This window comes from Homo sapiens, chromosome 4, assembly GCF_000001405.40.
Source record: "Homo sapiens chromosome 4, GRCh38.p14 Primary Assembly".
Classification (NCBI taxonomy): Eukaryota; Metazoa; Chordata; class Mammalia; order Primates; family Hominidae; genus Homo; species Homo sapiens.
In genome coordinates, this window is record NC_000004.12 from 24,152,700 (window position 1) to 24,168,925 (window position 16,226).

Genomic DNA, 16,226 nt, shown 5'->3' on the forward strand with positions numbered 1-16,226 from the left:
AATTCCCAGAGTTAACTGTTGAGATTCCAATCACTGCAAAAAGCATTTGCTAATTTAATTAATTAACTCTGTATCAAGCACTCCCAAAGTTAACTGTTGAAACTAAAATACTTCTACCCCAACTCTAGGTCTTAAATAAATAAATGTCTATGTATATGTCACAAATAAGTTGGAATTTCTCAACTCTCACCTTGTTTGCCACTCAGCAACACTTTCATGTGCTAACACTTCTGTTCAAGACAGAAGACATTAATTAAATAATTAGCCTTGAGCTCAGACATGTAAACAAACACAATTGATGAATTCGTTAATTGTTCTTCCCTGCTGTGGACAGGAGCTATTGTTAGCAACAGTAATAATAGCACTGATTTGATTTCAGACAGGCACTTTGAATACAGGAGGCGAAATGCAGAACTCAGATTCAGAGAAGGTAACTATAGAGGAGCATAGAGTGTTTTCTGAAAATACCAATTGTACAATTGCTCTGTTTATACAGTTACATGAAAGAGGACGAGGAATACTGGCAAACCAAAAATAGCCTCGTCGATGAACATTTGAATTTGCACCAAACACTGACAATTCAATTATTTTTGCCAGGCTCCCAGCACTCAGAAATAAAATAATTTAGAAAACATCTCAAAAAAATGGCATACTTTGAAAAAAAAAATCAACCACCTCCCTTCCTTTCAGCATCAGAAAGATTTGATCTGAACAAAAATGAAATTAAATAGTGTAGATTGGTGTTCCAGTGTTCCTCTAGGATTTCTTTATAAATGAAGTATAAATAGCAATTATCAGCAGACATGTGTACACTGGGCATAGGAGACATATGCCAGTTGACAACAAATTTCCAATAGGAAATATGAGGATAACTAGAAAGCAAACTGAAATATTTTTCTGCCGTTTATTAACATGCCAATCAGTCCGTAGTCCATAAAAATTTCATAAAATGCTGTAAACATTTCCCCATGTTCTTCATTCACATGAAAATCTGATGATATTATTTTCTGTGCTATAATTAATAGAGGTTAATGGTGACTCTGCTGATGAGTAGAAGTGGTGTGATCTGATTTTTGTTGGCTGGACTGTAGAATTTCTATCACTGCAAGTTGGAAACAACACCAAATTGTTACCGAACTGGGCCACCAGCCCCAGAAAGGAATACTCGACTTGCCAAACAAAAGTGGATCCCTCCACATGAAAAATAAGGGGAAAAAACAAAAAGGTAGAGAAAATATGAGAAAGGGAGGGAAAGGAGAAGAGAGTACAGGACAAATTGTCTCAGAAAAGCAGGTTTTCCCACAAGAAAAGATAAAGGACCATGGGCAAAGAAAAGGAACTCACAAACCCAAACCCACTTTTCCCATGCAGACACTTGAAATTGACAACCACTGTTATTTTTAATTTTCTTCCAAGGTCAGGCCCAGTTTGAATCCCATCTCCAAGTAGTTGTCCAAACCTACCTGAGTGATGCCCTCCCCTGGCCCTGCAAACTCACACAACTGCATCTTACGCTCATAAGCTGTGTTCTACCACAGTGACTTATGTGTCTATTTTGCTTCTCCACCCAGATCCCAAGCCCCTGTTGGACAGCAGCTGAGCTTTGCTCTCTTCAAATTCCCCACAGGATCTGGACATGACATCCTGCACAAGCACATGCTCAAAACATGTCTGTCAAATAAATTAATCAAGCAAATGGCGTCTTCTAACATTCAGAGATTCTGAACATTTGTATTGTATGGCAGAGCTTTAAAATTGTTGAGAAAACATAGGAAAAAATGCTATGGAAAGAGCCTTGTGTAAGCCATGGTAGTCTGGCACTTGACTACAACTCAAAATACATGGCTAGCCAACCCAATTTAAGACTTCCTCTCTGCTTTCTCATATCACATTTTCCCACTGACTTCGAGTCAGGTGAAGCGCATGTCCCGTTCCCTTCTCAGGCAAGATGCTTCTAAGCTGAGTTATCAAATCTTGAATGAATTAGTAAATGAATGAATAAGTAGCCATGTGGGAGCTGGGAATTCAAAGATGAGAAAGCTCTTCTGTCTGTCCTCAAGATGTATACAATCACTCCGAAACACAAAGCGAGACGCAGATGTAAAAACCAGCATTATAAAGGCAGGAAAAATTAATTGTCTAAAAACAAATGTCATTGACTCTGAAGAGATTCTAACAGGTAAGGGCATTGTGGAAAGCCCTTTGGAATAGTTGCTAAGCCTTGAGTTACACCTTGAGAAATGTATCAGATATCCTCTGGTCAAGTGATGGGAAAGGGTCTTCCAGTCCCAGGAAGTAAAAACCAGCATGATGTAGTGGTGAGAGTCTGGGCTTTGCTCAGGGAAGAGCTAGGTTCCAATCTCAGGTCAGCCACTAAGAAAATGGTTGGCCTTATGTGACTTTCTCTTCGAACCTCGGTTTTGTTTTTTTTTTTTTATCTATAGGTAGGAGTGTCACTGCTAACCTCAACAGGCTCTTGAATTAAAATATGATAATGTATTTTAAATGTCTAGCAAAATATATTGAAGAAGGCAGATGCTTAAGATCTTAAGGTGCATTTGAGAAACAAATCAATCTGTGAAGTATTTATAAGAGGGACATACTATGGATCTAACACTCCCTGTCAAAAAGACAAGCAGAGGGCTGGGCACAGTGACTTGTGACTGTAATCCTAGCACTTTGGGAGGCCGAGGTGGGTGAACAGCTTGAGCCCAAGAGTTGGAGACCAGCCTGGGCAACATGGCAAAGCCCTTTCTCTACAAAACGTAGCGTGCACCTGTAGTCCCAGCTACTCAGGAGGCTGAGGCATGAGGATTGCTTAAGCCCTGGTAATCAAGGCTGCAGTGAGCCAAGATCTCACCACTGCACTCCAGCCTAGGCAATACAACAAAACCCTGTCAAAAAAAAAAAAAATACAAGAGGAATATGATCATTATGTTTAACTTCCTGTGCCCTCATGAAGCTTGTGGTTTAGCTGCAAACAAAAAACACACAAACACTGAGGCAAGTATGACCTAAGGTCCAGTGGAAACTAGAGTGAACATTACTCTAGGTTTGACATGGACTGAGCAGGTTCCCTGGATATGGAATTTTCTGTGCTAAAACCAGGGAAGTCCTGAGCGAACCATAATGAGTTGGTCACCCAAGTGGGCAGATGCAAGTTACAAGATCCACAAGAGATCCAAGAAAGGAACTAGCAAGCACTAGGATCTCTATAATTGGGGGTGGGTCCATGCAAAATGAGAATGTATAGACCCCTATACCCAGCTGTTTTCTTTCTTCCTGTTGCTATGATTATTAATATTTTTTGAAATAAGATCCACTCATCATAAAACTCAAATTTGAACAGGACCCTTAGCTTTGAATATGAACCCTGGCTTTCTGTTTTTCTCATTTTGGAGATGGATAAACTGAGCCCCAAAGACAGGTTAAACAACTTGTTCAAATCAACGACACAGCTGGAAATAAAACCCAGTTTCTTTACCTCCTGGTTCAGTATGTATTTTGGGATATATAACACAGGCTTCAAACAGTGTTTAAGTTCTATTTAACCTTAGTGGGGAATATTCCAATTAACATATCCACCCCCGGGTGTTTCTCCCAGTTGAAATTTTCTTCCTTTTTAGTAAACTGAAGCAGACACTCCCCCACCCTCCCCACTTGCTATTTTTTTTTTTCTTACTAAAGCTGGCAAGTGTTAGTGTCTTCTTTGGTGCCTGCTCAATTCAACTCAACAGAAGCTTGAAATGTATTCCATTTTTTGGTAACAGTTAGGAAAGGACTGTCAAGGGGTGGAGAAGATCAATCACTCGTGGAAAATGCTAGGTGTCCCATTATGGTATGATAAGTTCAGCTGCAGAGTATATGCATTTTTTTGCTCTCTGAATAAATGGCAGAAGTCAGTTCTCCATAAATTCAAAATGTATATGAGAACATGAAATCATATTTTAAGTGGATTTCACAATTGCTCCTCTTTATCATTCTAAATACCAAAGATTAAGCTTGCCTCTTGGCTGTTGCGGTCTTTTCTCTCTCTCTTTTTTTTTTTTTTTTAACTTTTGTTTAATCAGATATGAATACTGGTTGGTGGCTTTTATTGTTCAGAACTACCTGAAAGGGAAAGAGAGAAAATGAACTCTGCCTGCTGCCTCCATTCCAAACAATGTTTATTTTCATTATAACTCTTCCTGGCCTGTTTCAAAATGGCATTGTTACCCAAATGGTGTTGCTGACCAAAATACCTTTTTACTAAGCTAATCCACAGTTCCCATCCCTTCGCTACTTTGATACAAGACACTCATTTTTCTCCTTCAAATTTAATTTATTCAAGGATACCACATAGAGGCTGTATAGGGTTGTGGTTAAGGACCCACATGCTGGAGCAAAAATCTCTGGGTTCAAATCCCAGCAATATTACTTCTTAGCTGCATAAACTTGGCCAAGTCATTTCACTTTTCTGTTTCTGAAAAATAAAAGATGGCAGATCCTCTGATCATCATCCATTTTGTTCCCAAGAAAAGTCGCCCTGAACCACATTCCCAGGCCATCATGGGTCAACTGCTCTGCAGTTAAGATTCAGCTCTCAGCATCTTTAATCCTTTGTTTATTTTTCTTCTCTGAATCGATCTGCAAAGCTCTTCATCTTCTAATAGTGTCAGCCTCTGGGGGACTCCTTCAGAATCTCCTTGGTGTGCTCCATTTTCTCTTCCTCCAAACATCTTCTCAACTCCGTCTTTATTCTCTTCCTAGAAAATCTCACCTGAGCATTAAATAATATCCTACATGTATATCTCTAACAGTGATTTTTTTCTCTGAACTCCTGCATATCCTATCTGCCTCTTCCTGGATGAGTAGTTGAACTTGACCACAAGTGTCTCCCTGAATATGCACCTCCCCAGCTTCTTCCTAACTCAATAAACAGCATGCCCATCCATCCTGTTGTTCATGCCCAAAGCCGAGGAGTCAGTCCTGTTTTTTCTCTTTCCTTCACCCTCCCAAATCCATATTCCAAGAGCTCTGCTTCCAAAACCTGTCCTGATCCAACCCCATCTTTCCATTTCTATTCCCACCATTGTTGATTTGGTCTGAATCTTGGCGGCATCCTTCTAACTGGTCTCCCTGCTTTGATTATTGCCCTCATCCCCCACCCCACAATTCTCCCTCTCTACTCTGCAGCCAGAAAAGTCAGAAAAAATAAAAAAGCAAATTAGATATCACTTTTCAATTTAAAAAACCACTCCCCCAACCCCTTACCCTTCCAACACACACTGTCTTCCTTTTACATGTAGAATAAACTCTTCTTTACCAAGGCTTAGGAATGCCGCCATGATCTAGCCCCTGCCCACCTCCCCACTTTTCCTTCCCCCCTCCCTCCTATGTTCACTACACTCTCCAACCCTTTTTGTTTTTCAAATGCTCTAAGCCCATCTCTACTTTGTGAGAGATCTTTGCAATAGTTATTGCCTCTGACCAGAATATTCTCCCTCCCCTCCCATCATTCAGGTTGCCCAATAGACATCTCCCCAGGGCAAATTCCCTGCTGTTCTACCATGAGAACCTCATCATCAGTCACTTTCTCTCTCATTATCCTGCTTTGCTTTTGTCAGACTTCATTGCCAACCAAAATATTATTTTCTTTGTCACTCATTTATTATCTGTCTTCCGCCAAACTCCACAAGAGCAGGGACCTTGTCTAGCTCACTGTCCCAAGCTCAACATTAAAACAAGATCAGGCATATGTCATGCTCTCCGTTAGTATTTGTTGAATCTCTAAATGGCCAACTTTTAAAATCGCTCACTTCCCTGAATTCATCCACATTGCACTGGTGAGCTTTTACAGGCCTAGATAATTATATTGTAATTAGTCTGAAAGAAAGGCATTTAAGTTATAAGTTAACAAGCAGATGAATGACTGTTCTGAGGACACTGACCAATTCCTCATTATCTCTGGAGTAAAATAAACAGGCAGAAGCTGGCTTAAATTGTTGTGGAACAGCTTGAATTGCTGTAAGGAAAATCTTTTTGATTTTGAGGGTCATGAATAATTGAGAAAGGCTATAAAGAAAGGTGTCAGTACTTGATTCCTAAAGCACTTAGCAACCAATAGCCAGTTATTTGCCTTAGATGCTTCAGTAATTTGTTAATTTATTGCCATTTATTAACGTGTTATATAACCTAGAATATATATAATATTTCAATCACTCTAAAATATACCTTTTCCTACATCTTATCACCTCTGATATCAGAAAGTATCTTACAACTGATAACAGCGCATGATAGTTGAACTGACAGCAGTTTCTTAGTGGTATGTACAATAACGGTACTTAATATATTGCATCTTAGACTCGATAAAGTATAATAATTTATGATATCACATTTGCTGAATGCTGGCTTTGGACAAGCATTTATAAATGTTGTCTTATTTGTTAATCCTTACAATCAGCCTATATGATAAATAATATCAGACCTATTTTATACATAAGAAACTAAGGATCAAGGAAATTAACCTTTTTTTTTTTTTTTTTTTTTTTGAGATGGAGCCTCGCTCTGTTGCCAGGCTGGAGTGCAATGGTGCAATCTTGGCTCACTGCAACTTCCGCCTCCTGGGTTCAAGCAGTTCTCCTCCCTCGGCCTCCTGAGTAGCTGGGATTATAGGCATGCACCACCACCCCTGACTAATGTTTGTATTTTTATTACAGACAGGGTTTCACCATGTTGGTCAGGCTGGTCTCGAACTCCTGACCTCGTGATCTGCCTTCCACAGCCTCCCAAAGTGCTGGGATTACAGGCGTGAGCCACTGCGCCCGGCCGAGATTAAGTAAATTTTCTAAAGTCACATAGCTTATAAATGCTAAAGCCCATGATTTAATCCAGATCTATCTGACCTCCAAACCAATTCTCATCACCACTTTCCTATAATAGTTATTGTTAAATTAAATTAGGTTTTGTACATAAAATGCAAATGCCCATCACAAACAAGTCACATAGTAGGTTTTCAACTCATGTCAGTTCCCTTCCTCTCTGTGAGTTTACATGTGCCTGAATGTACAAGCATCAGCTGTGCTCTGATTCCATGTTTTATATAAAACTTCTTAGAGGGCAAGCTTTGGCAGTCAGAATTTGAGGTCTGGCTTTTGAAAATATCTGAGCCCCTATCAAAGGCAGCAAATTAGCTGGGAAGTCAGTGGGACCATATAGTGATCACACTGCTGAAAGGCCACTCCCTGATGAGCAAGAGAGAGCAAAGCAGCCAAATTAACTCTCTGCCTAAGTCCTGACTAGTGGAACACTAACAAGATTAGACTTTGGAAGTAGGCAGGACAAATCTACTATACCAAGTGAGGTAGAGCACTGTGGGAAATTCAGTGGTTTTCAAGTCTGACAGTCTCAAACTCAAATCCCAGCTCTCCTTCTCAACCACCTGACCCACTTAACCTCTCTGGATTTTAGACCTCTAATCTCTCAGTCAGAAGAGGTACTTCTTTCTCTGCAGGGTTGCAGTAAGGAATTGTTCATTTCACAAATATTCATCGAGAACTTTCTATGTGCATGTGGGATACATCATTGAACAAAACAGATAAAAAGCCTTGTCCTTATTCATCTTACATTTTAGCAACTAGTGCAAATATATGTGGAGTATCTAGCATGTTACTTGGTGATTATTAAGACCATTAAAACTATTAAGTAAGTAAAAGTATTAGCATCGTATATTGTAATTGGAACTGGTGTGCAGTTTAAATTTGCCCAGGTATTCTGAATAGAGCATCAAGCTGTTCCATCATGCCTATGTCTCCTCTACCAAGAAGGACATCAAGACTGCTGCATGCCTGGCTCTTCATCATGCCAATCTCTTCAAAGAGGAATGCTTTCTAAATTAGGTCATTCTTCCTGCCTGGCCCCATGCCTCCATCATCTCAACTCAGCTGTTTCACACACCTTACCACAATCTGAACTCTCATTTTTAAATGTGTTTCCTTATATATTGTCCCTTCCCCTTGTAGAAAATAAGCACCTGAGTTCAGGGACCCTTGTTCTTCATACCTAGAACAGGCCCTGACACTTAATATTTGCAGAATAAGCATCAGTGATATACTTTCCATTTCTAGAAACAAGCTGCAATTTAGAAATATGCTTTGAACTCAAGGGTAAAGTTGGGACCTACTGAACAAAACACTCAAACTATGGCTACCGGTAGCCAATGTGATACAGGGTTGGCTGAAGGCTTCAGAGGCAGGGTCCCAGATCCTGGAAAGATAAAATCACTCTGTTTTATTCTGAGACCTGCAAACTCTTAGAATGAAAGTTTTCAGATCTTTCATAGCTGCTGGCTATAGGATAAGTGATCAGAAAAGGAGTCTGGCAAAAGGCCAGAGCTACCCTCAATGAAATGGTTCTCAAGTCCTACTGACTGGTCCTAAATAAGGAAGAGCATGACTTGGGATTGCAGTGGTCAAGAAGGAAGAATATAGCATTGTTAAATGATGCAGGTCCCCCTTGAGCAAGTAAATCTAAAACACTCGAATCTCAATGACTTTATTCAAGGGTCTCTCTTCTCAAATCTAGCTATGTACTCTCCCACCTCTCAGCTTTTGCTCATAATTAGGAATTCTAGTCTGACCCTACCTAGAAAGTTCAACTCATCACAATTCATCCCTGCCTGCAAGAGTCAGCTCAGGTTTCCCATGGAAGGAGCCTGGGCTTTGAAGGAAGGCAGATTTGGATTCAGATACCAAGTCTGTCACCTATGGGATGTGGGGCTGTGTGCCGATAAGAGGCCACTTAACTCCTTGCAGCCCCCAAACCCCAGTTTCCTCACCTGGAAAATGGGTCTGTCGGGATCTACCTCATTCTTGGGGTTGTCATGAGATACTATGAGGGAATTACTAGAAAGGGGAATGGAGCCTGGGCCGGCAGCAAACTAGAAATGAGTAGTATAAGAGGGTTTTCATTTCATTGAAGATAAAACGTAAAGAGATAGCTAAGCTTCCTACGTAGTTCAGAGAGGTTCCGATGGTAAATTCAGAGAAGGTCAGCAGGAAGGGGGTTGGCAGGGAGCTATGGCTTCACTGAGTGCTAGCCACTGCATCAGGCAGTAGGAGACACAGAGGTAACCAAAGGTGATATAACTCTTTCACTTGTGAAGCTTCCATTTTAATAAAAAGTAATGGCACACACATGTTTATAGCAGCACAATTCACAACTGCAAAAATACGGAACCAGCCCAAATGCCCATCTCAATGAGTGAATAAAGAAATTGTGATATACACACACACACACACACACACACACACACACACACACACACACACACACACCATGGAATACTATTCAGCCATAAAAAAGGAATGAAATAATGGCATTCGCAGCAACCTGCATGGAATTGGAGACCATTATTCTAAGTGAAGTAACTCAGGAATGGAAAACCAAACATCGTATATTCTCACTCATAAATGGGAGTTAAGCTATGAGGATGCAAAGGCCTAAGAATGATACAATGGACTTTGGGGACTTGGGAGGAAAGGGTGGGAAGGGAGTGAGGAATAAAAGACTACAAATTGGATTCAGTATATACTGCTCAGCTGATGGGTGCACAAAAATCTCACAAATCACTACTGAAGAAATTATTCATGTAACCAAACACAACCTGTTCCCCAATAACCTATGGAAATAAAAATAAAATAAAATAAAATAAAAGGGCTTTTGAGCCAGGCTGATCTGAGTATGTACTCCCCTCAGCCATATTCCCACAGTGGGCCTTGGACAAGTGAGCCAAGCTTACCAAAGTTGTCTCCTTAGCTGTAGAGTTAATATTGGCTATATTGAAGAATCTTACTAAGATGAAGTGGGATACATATGTTAAGGGCCTTTCCTGAAATAGATGTTCCTTACTTCCTTTTTTTTTTTTTTTTTGAGATGGAATTTCATTCTTGTCACCCAGGCTGGACTGCAGTGGTGCAATCTCAGCTCTCTGCAACCTCTGCCTCCCAGGTTCAAGCAATTCTCCTTCTTCTGCCTCCCAAGTAGCTGGTATTACAGGCACCCACAACCATGCCCATCTAATTTTTGTATTTTTTTAGTAGAGACGGGGTTTCACCATGTTGGCCAGTCTGGTCTCGCACCCCTGACCTCAGGTGATCCACCCAACTCGGCCTCCCAAAGTGCTGGGATTACAGGTGTGAGTCACCACACCTGGCCCTTACTTCCTTCTTATTGGCATTTTCTGCCATGCCAGAAATGTGCAAGTGTTTTGTTACATTTTCTTCTAATGACAATAAGATAAAATTTAAGGAAAACAAACACCAAGTATTTTTTGTCCATCTCCTTTTCTAAAAAAATAATATTTTACAAAATATTGTCATATGCATATGTTCTGAATACACATCATGTCTCTCATACAATAGTCTTTATTTATTTCTCAAAAATACAGGATCTGATGATTTGAATGCTCCCCAAGCCCTGTGATCAACAGCAATGCCATTTGTGTGTGTTTCCACTAAATTATGTGCCATACTAGATAAAAGATTTGTTGTGAAAAACAGCCACTTCCAAAAGTAAGAGAGTTTATCAATTCTAATCATTCTTATCCAAAATTAGTTGTCAAGTTTCAATGGCTGAAATGAATTTAACAACATAAATTTCGTACCACTGCTGAATGTCTAATGCAACCTCATAGAGCAGTCCTGAATACACAGCCCTGTCGGGGTTCACCAACTACTTTTAAAATATCAGCACTTTTGTGGTATAATAGAGCCTATTAACAACAGTTGGCTGACATTAGAGGTAGTCAAACTAAGCATCAATTTAAAAAAATATGCTGACCTTTCCGAAAATTAAGAAGCAGTTGCCCCATACTCACCAAAGGGAAATCGGAATAATTACTGTGGCATTATGAAACCCAGTTATTTGACTAATAGCGATATTTTTTCACTGCCGCAAAAAGCTAGCAAATACATTATGACGCTATAGCAATACTGATATTCATAAAATCTCATTAGGCCAACTAGAAGTCAAACATTAGCCAATCATGCTTCTGCTTCCTACTTACAGATCAAAGCTAAATACATGCTTTAGCCAGTTAGAAACAAAATTGAATTTGAGATCTGCATCGCTCTCATTAAGTACCACTCTGTTAGGCTGTGTTTAAGACGAACAGCCCATAGGGAGCTTTTTCCAAACCAATGAGAAGGCCTCCTGACCATCTCAAACTTGAAATTCCATTACTGTTAATTTAAATAAACACATTTTGAAGCAGTCTGGACTTCCACTGCCCTGCTTTCTCTTTCCTTGTTCATTTGACCACAGGTTGGTTTATTTATAGCAAAAGAAAATCCTGTTTGATAGAATAATTCTCATTTTCAAAATAAGCATCTCTGTATTGTGTCCCATAATAAAAATAGGCAACTATCTTCCTTGCATGCTTATTTTTCTTCTCTGATATTAGCTCTTAATTGAAAGGAAAGGCAAATAAACTGACTTAAACAGGTGTTATGAGTGAGCTGAGCTCCATGCAGAAAGAAAGGAAGTTGAATGAGTCAGTAGCAGAGTGGGGCTGGTACCCGATGCAGAAGCAAACCCTCAGAGTCATCAGTTGCTGGGACAGAGCAGGGGAGCCTTTTCCTGGATGAGACCACATTTTAAAATTCCAATAAGCAGCACAAACACAGCAGCACTGGCAAAATGTGTCTCCCCTCATGCTGAGAAGGTTCACTGCCTCTCCTATATCATTTATAGTCCACAGCTGGAAGTTATTCCACCGGGTTGCCCAGGAGAGGGGAGCAATGCCCAGAGACTGACAGCTTTGAGCTGAGCCTCCTGTCCATAATCTCTGACTGTATCTCCATGGTGCCACATATACATGTATATATACACACACACACATACATATGCCATCTTGTTGGTTTACACAGGGACATCAAACAGAAAGGGGTTGATTTGATTTTGTTTTATCCTTTCAAATTAGTAGCCTTAGAGAATCTGTTTTAAAATTACTGAAAGCACTGCCACATTACATAGAATGCACAGCTATCATAGCTTGCAGCACATGGGAAAAGTATGACTGAGTCTTTGCTTTGTTCCTGGTGCACAGATTGAAGGGTATATAAACCTTCTGGCTACACACATTGGCAGACCTAGAATTTCTATAGGGGGAAGGAAGGCGGGCAAGCAGATTGAGATGGGGGTAAGGAGGTTGTCTCAATGTGACATTTTGCAGAGCAAGTGCACTATTTTGACTTTGCACATTTATTTGGTGTGGGAGAGGAGCCTGCTGAGGGGGACGATTCAAAGTCCCTCCAAGATTTGCTGACACAACTAAAAGGAGTAGCTACAATAATCTTTTGGTCAATGTATGACCTATCTGACTCCTTTATAACTCTCTCAAAATATGGAAGCATTTGAGGAAAGCGAAATAATTTAAATAAAAATATTAGGACCCTTTTTCCATAATGGAAATTTCTAATGGACATATTAACAATTAAATTCCAAAAATTAAAAAATTTTAATTTTTTTATTTAAAAAAATAACTGAATGCTGGTATTTGGGATCCTGTGCTTGAAAGTGCATGAAATTTGATCAAACTGAAATTAAAATTGTGACAAGGCACACTATATGCAAAAATATTAGGATAATGAAAATAAAACTAATCTTTGTATAGAACTTTTTCAATTTACAAACGTTTTTCAAATGATGAAACTCTCTGGATTTTTGTGGCAACCCTGATTGATAATGACATAAGCAAGATACCAATGACCTCATTTTATACAGGAATACATTGTTTTATTGTGCTTTGCTTTATCACACTTCCCAGATAATGCAATTTTTTTTACAAATTGAAAGTTTGTGGCAACACTGCAATGAGCAAGTCTGTCAGCACCACTTTTCCAATAGCACGTGCTTATTTCATGTCTCTGTATCACATTTTGGTAAGTCTCATGGTATTTCAAGCTTTTTCATTATTATTATATCTGTTAAGGTGATCTGTGATCAGTGAACTTTAATGTTACTATTGTATTTGTATTAGGGTGCCATGATCCATTACCATATAAGAGGTTGAACTTGATCAATAAACGTGTGTGTTCTGACTGCTCCACTGACCAGTGGTTCTCCTCTCCCTCTCCCTGTTTCTCCTCAGGCCTCCCTATTCCCTGAGACACACAATATTAAGCTAATTAGTAACCCCTACTAAGTATTCAAGTGAAAGAAAGAGATGCACGTCTCTCACTTTAAATAAAAAACCAGAAATGATGAAGCTTAATGAGAAAGGCATGTCGAAAGCTGAAACGGGCTGAAAAGTAGGCCTCTTGTGCCAAACAACTAGGCAAGTTGTGAATGCAGAGGAAAAGTTGTTGGAGGAAATTAAAAGTGCTACTCCAGTGAACACACCAATGACAAGAAAGCAAAACAGCCTTATTGCCAATATGGAGAAAGTTTGAGTGGCCTAGATAAAAGATTAAACCAGCCACAACATTCCCTTAAGCCAAAGGCTAATGCAGAGTAGAGCCCTAACTCTCTTCAATTCTAAAGGCTGAGAAAGGAGAGGACGCTGCAGAAGAAAAGTCCGAAGCTGGCAGGGGTTAGTTCATGAGGTTTAAAGAAAGAAGTCATCTCCATAATGTAAGTGCAAAGTGAAGCAGCAAATGCTGATGTCAAAGCTGCAGCAAGTCACCCAGAGGATCTAGCCAAGATCATTGGTGACAGGGGCTACACTAAGCAACAGATCTTCAATATAGACAAAATAGCCTTGCACTGGAAGAAGATGCCATCTAGGACTTTCATAGTTAGAAAGGAGGAGTCAATGCTTGGCTTCAAAGCTGAAAAGAACAGCCTGATTCTCTCGTTAGAGGTTAGTGGAGTTGGTGACTTTAAGTTGAAGCCAATGCTCATTTACCATTTCAGAAATCCTGGATCTTTGCTGAAACCAAGATAAGGGAGTAAGCAATAATGAGGTAAGCAACTCAGATAATGAGGGCCCTTAAGAATCATGCTAAATATATTGTGTCTCTGCTCTATAAATGGAACAACAAAGCCTGGATGACATCATATCTGTTTATAGCATGGTTTACTGGATATTTTAAGCCCAGTCTTGAGACTTACTGCTTAGAAAACAAAGGTTCCTTTCAAAAATATTACTACTTCTCATTGACAATACACCTGGTCACCCAAGAGCCCTGATATAAATATACAATGCTTCTCATAGAATGTACTTTTCATGTCTGCTAACACAGCATCCATTCTGCAGCTCATGGATCAAGGAGTAATTTCAATTTTCAAGTCTTATTATTTAAGAAATACATTTCATAAAGCTATAGTGGCCATACATAGCAATTCCCTTGATGGATCTTGGCAAAGTAAATTGAAAACCTTCTGCAAAGGATTCACCATTCTAGATGACATTAATAACATTTACAATTCATGGGAGGAGATCAAAATATCTGCATTAACAGGAGGTTGGGAGAAGTTGATTCCAGTCCTTCTAGATGACTTTGAGGGGTCCAAGACTTCCGTGGAGGAAGAAACCATAGATGTGGTAGAAATAGCAAGAAACTAGATTTGGAAGTGGAACCTGAAGATATGACTGAATTGCTACAATCTCATGATCAAACTTTCATGGATGAAGAGTTGCTTCTTCTGAATGAACAAAGAAAGTGGTTTCTTGAGATGGAATCTACTCCTGGTGAAGATGTTGTGGACATTGTTGAAATGACTACAAAGGATTTAGAATATTACATAAACTTAGTTGATAAAGCAGCAGCAGCAGAGTTTCAAAGGACTGACTGAGATTTTGAAAGATGTTCTATTGTGTGTAAAATGTTATCAGAAGGCATTACATGCTACAGAGAACTCCTTGGTGAAAGGAAGAATCAATTGATGAGGCAAACTTCTCTGCTGTCTTATTTTAAGAAATTGCCACAGCCACCCAACCCTCAGCAACCACCCTGATCAGTCAGCAAATATCAACATCCGGGCAAAACCTTCCACCACCAAAAAGAGTACAACTTGCTGAAGGCTCAGATGATGATTAGCATTTTTAGCAAGAAAGATTTTTTTCTGTTTGTTGTTTTTAGGGTTTTTGTTGAGACAGAGTCTCACTCTGTCACCCAGGCTGGAGTGCAGTGGTACAACCTCAGCTCACTGCAACCTCCACCCCCTGGGCTCAAGTGATACTCTCACCTCAGCCTCCTGAGTAGCTGTGACCACAGGCATGCACAACCATGCCTGGCTACTTTTTTTATATTTTTGGTAGAGATAGGGGTCTCACCATGTTGCCCAAGCTGGTCTTGAACTCCTGCTCAAGCAGTCTGCCTGCCTTGGCCTCCCAAAGTGCTGAGATTACAGGCATGAGCCACCACACTCAGCCAAGAAAGTATTTTTGAATTACGGTATGTAAAGGTTTATACATAATGCTATCACACACTTCAAAAACTACAGTATAGTATAAAAATAACTTTTATATGCACTAAAAAATCAAAAATTCAGTTAATGTGCTTTATCGCCATATTTGCTTTACTGTGGTGGTCTGAGACCGAATCTGCAACATCTCCATGGAATGCTTACATACTGCAGAGGAAATTGAGGCTCACAGGTGAAGTGTCTTGCCCATGTTCACAGGCACATTTAGATGAACAAGGGTGGGCTAGCACCCCAAATATCAACTAGTTCAGAGCCCCTTCCACCACATCACAACTTTGTCTCCTCAATAAATGTTTGTGTTAAAGATAAGATAACTCCTTGAGGCCTAAAAGTAATACCCAGTAACAATGAGCACTCGTAGCATTCAGTTCTTGGTTTCTTACATCATTCTCCAATAAAAGGAATCAGGACTCTGTACAGAAATGGCTGATTCTTGGACCGGGGCAGGAAATATACAAAAATGACCCTGGAGCACCTTGTACTACAAGAAGGTGAGGAAGAGCTCACACACACACACACAAACACACAGACATAGACACACACACACACACACACACACAATGATAAGAGTATATCAAAGGGACCTAGCCACCAACTGAAAGAATTTTCCCAATGGCCAAAGCCAGAACAAGAAAAATACTACGGTGTTGGATTATAACTCAAAGTATAAAATAAATATCCATGAGTCCATACTGATATAAACACACGATTGAATAAATAAGTGAATTAGGAAAAAGGAACAAATTGCCCATTCAGCAAAATTCCAAAGAATTTATCTAAATATGCTGTCTTTGAGGCAGTAGAGTTTAACTGCAAGT

General features: G+C 39.7%; 1 protein-coding gene across 12 annotated transcripts in view; it reads right to left on the minus strand.

Moving 5' to 3' along the window:
• Positions 1-16,226, minus strand: part of PPARGC1A (PPARG coactivator 1 alpha) — a 680,885-nt gene that overhangs the window by 360,679 nt on the left and 303,980 nt on the right. The gene's annotated exons all lie outside the window — the stretch shown is intronic.